Source organism: Homo sapiens, chromosome Y (assembly GCF_000001405.40).
Source record: "Homo sapiens chromosome Y, GRCh38.p14 Primary Assembly".
Lineage (NCBI taxonomy): Eukaryota > Metazoa > Chordata > Mammalia > Primates > Hominidae > Homo > Homo sapiens.
In genome coordinates, this window is record NC_000024.10 from 9,526,000 (window position 1) to 9,537,362 (window position 11,363).

The 11,363-nt window shown below is 50.4% G+C and overlaps 1 protein-coding gene across 4 annotated transcripts; it reads left to right on the forward strand.

The window, feature by feature from the left end:
* Positions 1-1,880: 1,880 nt before the first annotated feature.
* Positions 1,881-4,677, forward strand: TSPY10 (testis specific protein Y-linked 10). Of its 4 annotated transcripts, none has more exons than XR_001756003.2 (6): positions 1,881-2,412; positions 3,020-3,097; positions 3,226-3,337; positions 3,446-3,584; positions 3,680-3,772; positions 4,467-4,677. XR_001756003.2 is itself a non-coding variant. In NM_001320962.1 (6 exons), the coding sequence occupies exons 1-5, from the start codon at positions 1,927-1,929 to the stop codon at positions 3,740-3,742; spliced, it is 885 nt and encodes a 294-aa protein (NP_001307891.1). In that variant the 5' UTR covers positions 1,881-1,926; the 3' UTR covers positions 3,743-3,772; positions 4,467-4,677. The 4 variants fall into 4 exon arrangements, 3 of the variants coding, with proteins under 3 accessions (NP_001307891.1, NP_001269398.1, XP_016885514.1); NM_001320962.1 differs by having other exon boundaries at positions 3,439-3,584; NM_001282469.3 differs by having other exon boundaries at positions 3,439-3,584; positions 3,691-3,772.
* The last annotated feature ends 6,686 nt before the right edge of the window (positions 4,678-11,363 follow it).

The following is an 11,363-nucleotide window of genomic DNA, read 5'->3' on the forward strand; positions in this document are numbered from 1 at the left end:
CAGGGTCGTGCCTGGCGCTCTCCAAGGGAATTGCGTGGGTCCAGAGGAAGTTATACAGGCTCAGGGCCTACACGCCTTTGAGTGCAGCGCCTGCAGTTGGATGAATGCGCATCTGCGGAGCTGGTGCCCGCCGTCAGGTGGTCGGCAGCCCCATGCGCCGCGAACCCGTCTTAAGCACCTTGTGTTTCTGGGGTGAGCCTGCTGGAAACAGGCACCGAGAGCAGGGGTGGTTCAATGGCTGGTAATGGCATACAGATTCCCCGTCCTCCAGGGACGTTCCCAGGGAAACGCGTCCTTCGAATTTGGGCTGTGCGCAAAGGGACCTTGGCGCCGCGATTCTCCCTTGTCAGTGCTGGCCCTGGCTCCCCTTCCCTACCACGTGCTCCCAGGGCTGCTACAAGCGAGCTGCCCTCACAGCTGCGGGAACGTGGCCTCGGCTCCCACGCTGTCCCCCATCCCCTGCCTCCTGGCTGACCCCACGTGCCTCCCACCTGGCTCCTCCCCCCAAACAGCCCCTATACCCCCCGAGGCCCGATGACTATCCCCTGCTGCCCGCCATCCCAAATCGGCAGCCGCAAGGATATGGCTCTGGCTCACAAGGCGGAGATGCTCTGTGGCCTGGGGCATTCACGGAGCCCAGCTCCAAGTGAAGGACCTCCAGCGAGTCCATTGACGGCCCCGGTGTGCTCGGTCCAGGGCCAGGCTGTGCCCGCTGGCCCTCCTTCTGCCACCCCACGTCGGGCTCCACCTCAACCACCACCTCCACCTCAGCCATGATGTCTTCCACCTTCAGCACCGCCTCCTCTTCCAAGGCCGCCTCCTTGCTCTGTACCCCGGCCGTCCTCTCCAGCATTGCCTCCAGCCTGAACACGGTTTTCTCCTGGGTGCTCCCACAGACCCTGGGCCTGCGCAGCCCAGCCCAGCCCAGCCCATGCCCCGCACCCGTAGGCTCTGGGGGCCCGCTCCCCAGCAGACCCGCTCCCTGCAAGACCCACGGGCGTCGCCCTGCTGAGAACCTGGTCCCACACCTACGTGGACCCAGGTTTCCTGAGGAGCTCCGCTGGACCCGCAGATCCCGCACTGGCCAAAGGGCTCCGGTCCCCAGCAGGCTCAACTGCGCACAGGAGCTCGGGAGCCAGAGGCCCCGGCCCTGGGCTTGCAGAGCCCCACCAACAGGCACCGCAACCGCTGCTGCGGGTGCGGGAGCCTCTGGGTCGTCAAGGCAGCGCACAACAGCGTGCGCGCAGGCCGACAATGGCCAACCCTGGCGGCTGGCCTCTGGTGTGCCCAGGGCATAGGACAAGAGGCCCTTTGGAATGCTCCTTGGAGTACAGCATCCTCAGGGAGGAAGCATGGTACTCGGAGCCTCTATTTGCCTCGACCTGTGAGAGTGTGTGCCGGGGCTCTGGCCTCTACAGCAGATCAATTCCACCTCAGCACCGGCAGGCGACTTTCCTCCCACGTGCCCGCCCCGATCACTTCCCCCAGGACACCCCTGCCGCCCTTGCCCCAGCAACCAGAGAGAGTTCTCTGCATCTGCTGTATTACCTCCGTACCATCTACCTGGCCTGCCTAACGAAGAGAGATGTTTCCTGTGTTCATGACACATAGAGATGTTCATGGCTTGCCACACTGAGGATGTCAGGGCACAGGGCTGCCATGCCCACAATTCCAAAGGCCACGCAGCCCGCGTGTGCCCGGATGCCTAGCTACCCGGCACAAGCTCCAAGGGCTTCTCGGAGGAGGCTTGGGCAGGGAAGGCGGGGGGTGGGGGGGCTGGAGATGCAGGCCCGCCAGTGGCTGTGCCGCCCAGGGAGACGCCCACCGCCCTCCCATTGACTGGCCACGACGGGAGGAAGTCGGCCTGGGTGCGGCCCCCCGGCCCTTCGCGCGCAGTCCCTTAGGGGGCGCCTGGAAGCCCGGCGCATGCGCCCTGAGGGCTCGCTGACCTACCGGGTGCCAGAGAGGCTGCGGCAGGGTTTCTGTGGCGTGGGTCGGGCAGCACAGGCCTTGGTGTGTGCGAGTGCCAAGGAGGGCACCGCCTTCAGGATGGAGGCTGTACAGGAGGGGGCGGCCGGGGTGGAGAGTGAGCAGGCGGCTTTGGGGGAGGAGGCGGTGCTGCTGTTGGATGACATAATGGCGGAGGTGGAGGTGGTGGCGGAGGAGGAGGGCCTCGTGGAGCGGCGGGAGGAGGCCCAGCGGGCACAGCAGGCTGTGCCTGGCCCTGGGCCCATGACCCCAGAGTCTGCACTGGAGGAGCTGCTGGCCGTTCAGGTGGAGCTGGAGCCGGTTAATGCCCAAGCCAGGAAGGCCTTTTCTCGGCAGCGGGAAAAGATGGAGCGGAGGCGCAAGCCCCACCTAGACCGCAGAGGCGCCGTCATCCAGAGCGTCCCTGGCTTCTGGGCCAATGTTGTATCCTTCTCAGTGTTTCTTCGGCCTTTCTAGTGGAGAGGTGCTCTCGGGGAAGTGTAAGTGACCGATGGGCAGCTCGGCGTCGATGTGACTCTTTGGGGAACAAAGGGGAGTTGCCACGGACCAGTGTGGCTGTGGAAAGCCGGAGCAGGCGTGGGTACTATTGTCCTGCATGCGGCAGAGAAACCCTTGGTGATGCCGAGCAGCAGACGTTTGGGGCATCTTTTTGAAGAGCAGAAGCGAGTTCAGAGCGGAAGAGGTTTTTCAGTGAATGAAGCTATTTTTAAGGGAGTGTGATTGCTGCCCCTTGCTAGTCCGATCTGGGACTGGGCGTCTTCGGCTATAAGCAGATTCTGCCACTCCTCAGACACCAGCAAGTCTCTGCAAATCGCGCCTCCCCATGTCAGTGCAGTCAGCCTCAGAATCATACACCCTCTGTGAACACAGGAGGCCTTAGTTTACGGGGAGGGGGAGGCGAAAGGAGATCATACGTGGAAGCAGATCTGAGAAATCCCCTACCCCAGCCTCTGGGTGCTCTTAGGCCTTCTTCCCTGTTGCTCCTCGCTTTCCCTTCCATCGTGTGTAAAGTCTCTTTGACCTAAATCAGATTGCAAACCACCCCCAGATGTCAGCCCTGATCACTGACGAAGATGAAGACATGCTGAGCTACATGGTCAGCCTGGAGGTGAGGCCAGGAAGACTGGGGCTAGAGGGTTTAGCGGGGGAGGGTAAGGGAAATAATTCATTCCTGTAAGCAAGAGTGAGCACCTCACCCGAAAACCTATCTAAGCTTTCTCCACCTTGTCCTGACAGGTGGAAGAAGAGAAGCATCCTGTTCATCTCTGCAAGATCATGTTGTTCTTTCGGAGTAACCCCTACTTCCAGAATAAAGTGATTACCAAGGAATATCTGGTGAACATCACAGGTGACAGGTGGCTCCCAGGATGGGTAGTGGAAGGAAGATGGTGGGTGGATCATTGCCAACGGGATCCAGCCCCCTTCCCACAAAAACTCCTGTCTCTGTAGAATACAGGGCTTCTCATTCCACTCCAATTGAGTGGTATCCGGATTATGAAGTGGAGGCCTATCGCCGCAGACACCACAACAGCAGCCTTAACTTCTTCAACTGGTTCTCTGACCACAACTTCGCAGGATCTAACAAGATTGCTGAGGTGAGTCCTCACTGGGAAACATGAGGAATGACCCCGTGTGTTCCCAGCTGCTTGGGTCACCTTTCTGAGCCCTGATGAGGCCTTTCCCGATTGAGTCCCCTGACAGATCCTATGTAAGGACCTGTGGCGCAATCCCCTGCAATACTACAAGAGGATGAAGCCACCTGAAGAGGGAACAGAGACGTCAGGTGAGCCGTTAGTTGGCACTGGAGCTGTTTGATGCCCAGTATAAGGGGGTTGACACACCTGCCTATTCAGGGAGCCTGGGTGCTCATTTCAGAAATGTAGAAATTGAGGCTCCTTTCGTACATGTAGAAATTCCTTGAGAGGAAGACAGAGAGTGACAGAATCCAGGACGTTCATGGCATTGGGCTGAAAAGGCACGTTAGAGACTGCACTGCAAAGCGGGTGATAGCTGTGGAGTCTTAAGCCCAGTGAAGAATCGTCCATTTCCAGAATCAATGAGAAGTAAAGCTGAAAATCATTCAGTTCAGTCTGTGGCACTTGATTCCACGGCTGTCAACCCCACCGGCAGTCATCCCGCCAACCCCATGAGATTGGGCTCCCTGAATGTGCGTCCTGGTCATCCTTGCCCCAAACCACAAAGGACTGTTTAGATTGATGGATTTCCTTAAGCTGTTGCCCCATCAGACTTGTGTGTGCTTTTAGGGCCCAGTGCATCTTGTTAGCTGACTCCCCTCACAGACAATACTGGGAATGGGGCAGGGATTGCGCAGAACAGTTTGTAACACGTGGTAGGAGGAAGTTTAAGGGATCACAAATGGGGAAGGGATATCCTTTTCTCAGCGGGCCCCACAATTGAAACATTTCAAAGTATGGCTCAGAGAAAATGCGTTTTAACATGAGTTTGTGTTTCTCTAGGGGACTCCCAGTTGTTGAGTTGAATATGATGGAGCATCAGATTTTACCTAATACAGCAGAACTCCTAAAAAGTTACAGCCATATGCAGGACGGCAGTACTCAGCATGGTCTTATGCACAGGAACTAAAGGAAAAACAGATCGAGTCACAAAAATTCAGGAAGAGGGGGTAAATGTGGATTGTATGGAATGAAAAATAAACATTCTCAAGGATGTGTGACTCTGTGTCTGTGTGTGTGTGTGTGTGTCTTTGTGTTTGTGTGTGTGTGTGTGTGTATGTTTATCCACTTTATTCGGGTGTCATAATGAATTGATCAATCCACGTGCTTTATTCTCTTCATGGAAATAACCAGTCTGCGTTGGAGCTGGGCCTCTAAAGTTGTAGAGTGAATGGGTGTGGGATGTGTTGGGATTCTTCCTACAGGACAGAGTGGGAGAGGTAAAAGCAAAAGACAGCTTAGTTGGAGGCTGACTTCGTCCTGTGGAAGCAGAGATAGTTCAAGGAAAGGGGTTACTGGGTTTCCAGGGCCCAGTTTGCTGGGACCTCCAAAATCCTTCATTTTGGGTATCATCATACACAGTAGCTAAGCACAGGATGATGGAAATCTTAAAGTTCGCTTTCGTGTTGAATCCACATGTTCTTTTAAAGGTGAATGCATGATCCTTTTCTGGGACAATCAGCCTCTCAGGACTTCTGAAACATCAACGTGAGAAGAAATGGGCATGTAAGGTGTATGGAGGGACTGTGGGAAAGGTGACAGAGGCATGTGGGAAGGCATTCAGGATACGCTTTTGGCATAGATGACTAAGGGAAAACAGAAACTTACAGAAGTGAGGGGAAAGGGGGTGGATTAGTGGAATATAAGATTGTTGGAGAATCCATCCATGGACTCTCTTGTCACTTGATGACCCAGGATATGGACACTCTTGTTGATGTTTACATCTTTAGTTGTTTTAAGCTTTTCTCCAAGATTCTGTGTTAGGTGAGGAGCCAATAACGTATGTAGCTAACAACAGTACGAGTGCATTTTGTGCTCTTGCAAAGTCTAGTGAGGCTCTATTCTCCCTCGTGATTGGCACTGCAGATTGTATCTGGAGCCCAGGGCCCCTAAATTTTCTGTGGCCTCTTCAGCATAGTTTGCCTAAGGTTTAGAACGTAAAGCGAATATAGTTGCGGAATATGTTTTGCAAGCCTCACACAGGAGGACAAAACATACAGCTTTCATTCGCGAGTGGGAGGCTGCTTCCCAGGAACACGTGTGTCTGCACAAGACAAGGGGTTGCCTCTGTCAAGGATGGGGCAGGAGGATTTCAGTGTCGGAGGCAGAACTTTCTTTCCTGTTCCCAGATGAAACAGTTCCAACACGAGCATCCATGTTGACCACACGCTACTAGAGTGCTAACATTGCTGTCCCGTATAGACTCTCGTCAGCACAGCTTCTGTGAGAAGAGCATGTTGTTTCAGGGAAGAGGGTTTGACAGTCAAAGTTCCTGAATCTGTTGTGGTGCCTGCAATATGCATTCTACACCTCCTGCTCGGTGTCAAAGCAGTTGAGCTTTGAAAATCTATCGCCTGGTTTTGTCCCTGCTCCTATGCAGACCTCTGAAGCTCTGGAGCGGGAGTCTTGTCCTCCTCTGACTACCGTCCCCCTGACCCACAAACACAGGAGAAACAGGTGTTCTAAGCAAATTATTCTGAAAACAGTCGGAACACTTTGGCCCCCTCAAGCTGCCCTCTATCCTACTGTGTGCATGTCAAAGACACTGTGGTCCAGTACGGTATCCCTATAGCGGCAATGGGGCAACAGATTGGTGTGTGCACTCTGGGCAACTCAGATTAGGAAACGTCTGGGGACTTGCCTATAACGAGGTCGTCTTAAAACGTGTTGCCCCAAATTTAAGGCATAGGAAAATGTTGAGGAAAGGGTCTTGCAATGATTTTTCTAGGAGGTAAATAGATAAGAAAATGACCGTAAATAGATGCCAGGGCTAGTTTTGGAGCTAGCCTGTTTTAAAGTGGTGGTAGGGGAGGAGCTTTTTCCAAGGCAGGTAGCAAACCAGGAACTGTCTACGATGGATGGGTGTGCCACGGGTTGGTGGCTCAGCCATATTGCCACCCCACCGAGTGAATGCAGCAGACTGGGCTTCTTCCTTGAATCCTACGTGCAATTCAGTCTAGTGATTTCACATGAGATCCCTTCTTCTGGTATTATCACAGATCGTGCTGAATTATACAGGCTGTGTAATGCTTCTTCCACTGAATATCCGTGCACGTGGGCCACAGATGCTAAGGGCACTGACAAATTTGCACCGTGCCTCAGTAACTCGGAAGCACATCTGTGATTTGTACCGACAGGGACTTGGTGTCTTTTCGTGTTTAAAGTAGCACGTGTGTGTTTGTGGTTGCGTATGTTTATTTCTCTGTGCGGGTTTGTATATTTTCTCTGACTCCACCTGTGTCTCCGTGGTTCCGATATTTTTCCACACTCCCTGCGACAATTTGCACATGCCTATCTCTACAACCATTGTAGACTTTGTATCTGTGTCTTTGAACATCTGTCACTCTCTCTCCCTTCCTTTTTTCTTTTCCTTCCTTTACACCCCTTTCATCCTTCCCTTGCTTCCCCACCACACTCTCTCCATCTGTATCGTCTATCTTTCTATTCTCTATCTGGGTTTACTTTCTAATTCTGAATTCAAGGGCATTGAATTGAAAAGAAGCACTCTTCGTACTTTTATGTGTTTTAACTCATTTGGGGAATTTGGCGTGGTATTATTTACAGGGTTCTCTCTGCCCTTTCTCATTGTTCTCCCCAGCCGGGGCTGTTATTATGTGAAAGCTGGTTTCCTTCATCACATCGCGTAGGCTCTAATGATGTTTCGTTTATTTTGATTCTCCTCACACTACATAGTTTTAATTTACCTAATGTGACTGTTTTTTTGTTTGTTTTCCGAGAATGGGTCTTACTCTGTCTTCTAGGTTGGACAGCAGCCCCACGATCTCAGCCCACTGCAGCCCAGGCACCACACACCCATGTGATCCTGTCAACTCAGACTCTCACACACCTGGCAGTACAGGTGCATGCCACCCCTCCAAGCTATGTATTAATTAACTAAATACTTACTTTTTGAATGTGGGTCCATGTTGCCCCAGGCTCATCTGGAACTCCTGAGTGCAGGCAATCCTCCCACCTCAGCTTATCAAAGTGCTGGGATGACAGGTGTGACCCATGGCCCTGCCATGGCTTTGTGTTTTTTGCTTTTTTCTTCCTCCTCCTCACGTCTTGTTTTGAAACATGCACTGAAGGTTTCAATTCATGGACTGTAGTCTCTGTGCCTGGAATTTCTATCTTTCAACTCATCATCAGCATTCATTGGGATTTTCATATATATATATATATATATATATATATATATATATATATATATGTATATAAGAATACCTATGTACACACATATATATGTATATACATGTATATACGTATATATGCACATTTATATACGTATATACATGTATATACGTATATATATACATGTACACATATGTATTTATTTCTCAAGTTACGAAACGGCTTGCATTCTTTCCTGTGTCATGAAAAAGACTTTGCTAGAAAAGAAAAGCACTGCTTTATAATAAAATATTTTATTTGCATTTATTTTGTTAAGGCATTTTAAAAATTGTATGTTTGTTTAAAAAATGTCATATGAAATGATACATATTTACAACTTAAGGCGTGATGTTCAACAGGTCATATACATTATGCATTGGATACATCCAGCCAATCAACATATGTGTGACCTCACATAGTTGTCATTTTTGTTGTGAAAAAACTTGACTTGCACTGTATTCGAATATTTTTAGAGAAAGAATATGTTACCACTAGTTATAGTGAGCATGCTGAAGAAAATATTTTTAACCTATTCCTCCTTTATAACTAGAAGTATGAGTTCTTCATCCAGCATCTCGTCAGTGCACCCTCTTCACCGCAGTCATTGGAGTCACTACTTCTGTGAAGTCCGCTTTTTTGATTTCATATAAGAATGAGATCATGTGCTATTTTCATTTCTGATACCTGGCTTATGTCACTTAACAGAATGGCATGCACACATTCAGCAGATTCCCACACATTCTCACAACTGGCAGGATTTCCTGATTTCTTATTGCAGCGCATATTTCCGTTGCGCATATGCGTTTTTGCCCCATTTTTTAATCCACTTATCAATGGAGGGACACTCAGGTTGCTTCCGCATTTTGGCTACAGCAAAAATGTAATGAGTGCAGCAATAATTGCATGGGTGCGCGCACCGCTTCAACATACTGATCTGTGTACTGGCGGGCGTGCCCGGGTATTCTGATTTGCTGGATCATATAGTGGGTGGTTCTAATTGTAGATTTCTGAAGGCTGTTTATACTTAAATAAGAGCAATAAAGCTTCTTTAATGCCAGCACTAATTTACATTCTCCCCAAAAGTGAGCAGGGAATTCGTTTTCTCTGCCTCCTCACCAGAGATTAGGGTTTTCTTTTCTTTCTTTTTTTTTTTTTGTTTGTTTGTCTTTCGGATAATATGCATTCTGACTGAAGTGAGAAGAAATCTCATTGTGTTTTTGATTTGCATTTTCGTGATGGATTGGGGATAATGAGGAATTTTTAGTGTGTCTTCTGGGCAACTGTATGTCTCAGTTTCACAAATGAGTCTTCGCAGCCTTCGCCCATTTGTTTTCATGCTATTGAGTTGTTGGGAGTTCCTTATGTACTGTGACTATTCCCCCATGAACAGATGTATGGTGATCCAATCATTGCTCCCATCCTGTAGGATGCCCCTTCTGTATGTTGAGTTTTCTATGGTGTGGTGAAGCACTTTAGTTTGATATGATTCCATTCTCTATTTTTGATGGTGTTTACTGTGTTCTTGCAGTCACTTTGAGACCATCATTGCACACACGGACGCCATGGAGCTGCTTCCTTGTGATCTCTTCTGCTATTTTTATCGTTTCACATCTGACACTGGAGTTTGGTGATAAATAATCCACTTGTAAAATCCTTTGTGTGGCTATTCAGATTTCCCCAACCTAGTTTATAGAAGATACTTGATTTTGCATTGGGCGTTCTTGCTTCTTTGGGAAAAGGCTGTGAGCTGCAAATGCAGTGACTTAGTTCTGGGCTCCTGTTGTTTTTCCTAAGCTCTAGTCTCTGCTTTTCTGCCAGCGCTATTGTATTTTGGTACAAAAAGTTTTGTAGTAGTATATCATGAAGTTAGGTAGTGGGGTGGCTCCAGCTTTGTGCTTTTTACTGGATTGCTCTGGGTTTTCAGGATCTTCTGCCATTTCATAGCAAATTTGGGATTCCCAGATTGTTTTCTAAGAAGAATGTGTCATTGATATTTTTACAGGGGTTGTATAGAATCTGAGGATGACTCAGGTAGTAGTGATGTCAATGCCGTTTAGACAATGTGCGTGTTTGTGTGCACATGCTCAGGGCCAAGAGACACTGGGTGTCCTCACCAATACTGAGGTGGGCCTTAATATCCAGCCAGATTGCCTTCTGGAAACACACGGAATGTCCTGTTCTGTTTTGCCATCTCTTCACATTTCCTCCCCTGTGAGCCCTGTGTGGTCCTCCAGATTCCCTGTGCGGTGGCCTGCCTTTTTTGGGGTGGGGAGTTGCTGGGTGAATGAGGATGGCGGAGGGAACCAAGTATGTCAGTGGAGCGTGGTGTCATCCAAACGGTACTTAGCAGGCCTGGGAGAGTCATTCTGGGAGGACGCAGACCTAGAGAGGCCTCAGGTGGGCATCTGTGTGGAGGGTGAGAGATCCCTGGTTGAGCCCAAACTGAACCCCAGGTAGAAGCAAGCCTCAGGACAGGGAAGTAGCTAGCAAGGGATGATGAGGCAGCTATCTCTTGACCCTGGCTTCCCACCCATTGACCTTAGCTACTTATGCCTATTAAGCAGATTACGGTTCCCCCATCGTGAAATGTGGGTACCACAGTTCCCTGATGGGCATTTCTCCACCAGCCCATGATGGCCTGAGTTTCCTTACTGCAGTCTCCTCCCTGAGCCTTGGCTTCTCTATGTGTGTCCTAACTCCAGGACCCACAGGCCTGTCAACCCCCAGCCCTGGGCTGCTTCCCTGGCCTCTTCTCTGTTCCCTCTCTGAGGGCCTAACTCCCTTGGGTAGTGCTGCAGAATATAGAGCCACAGGCCCTGGCTGATGATCTGGTGGACTGGGCAAATTGGTCGTGACAGGTCAGGTTCTGGTTCAAAGCCAATTCCTCCGATGCCAAGGAATGTCGAAGAAGGTCCTTTGCCATGATGCCCCATAGCTGCCCCACCTCAGCAATCGTGCCGTAACCTGGGCCCTCACAGTCAGACAACCAGCTGAAGAAGCTCAGGCAGTGACCTGCGGGAAACTCGGGCTTTCACCTGCATGACCCTAGAACCACTGGACTGCAGTGGAGCCAGTCGCCCTGTATCCTGGAGGGAGACGAGTCAGGAAGGCGCACGCCAGGCCCAGCTCCCGAGGTACTACCCCCTCTACTCCTCAGGGAGGATGCCAACGCAATACTCCTTAGTCATCACTTTGTTTCCGAAGTAAATGTTGTGATGAAAGGGAAACTTCTTCCTACCCCTTGTATTCAGGGTGGCCGAGTTCCTCCACCTGCCTGTCCAAGAAGGAGAAACAGGGCTGTGAAGGGGCAATTTCATCTAGGTTGGCTGAGGTGGCATTCTAGCCGGGGTGAAGCATGCGTTTCCCCTTCCCAGCTTTCCCACTGAGACACACCTGAGCCCCAGAAGGACCTCAACCTGACCAGGACCTTAGCACCCTCCCCCAGACCCAGGCTTTCCATCCTGACCTGCAAACCCAACATGCAGCTTTGAAGGAATTTCTCATGTTTTC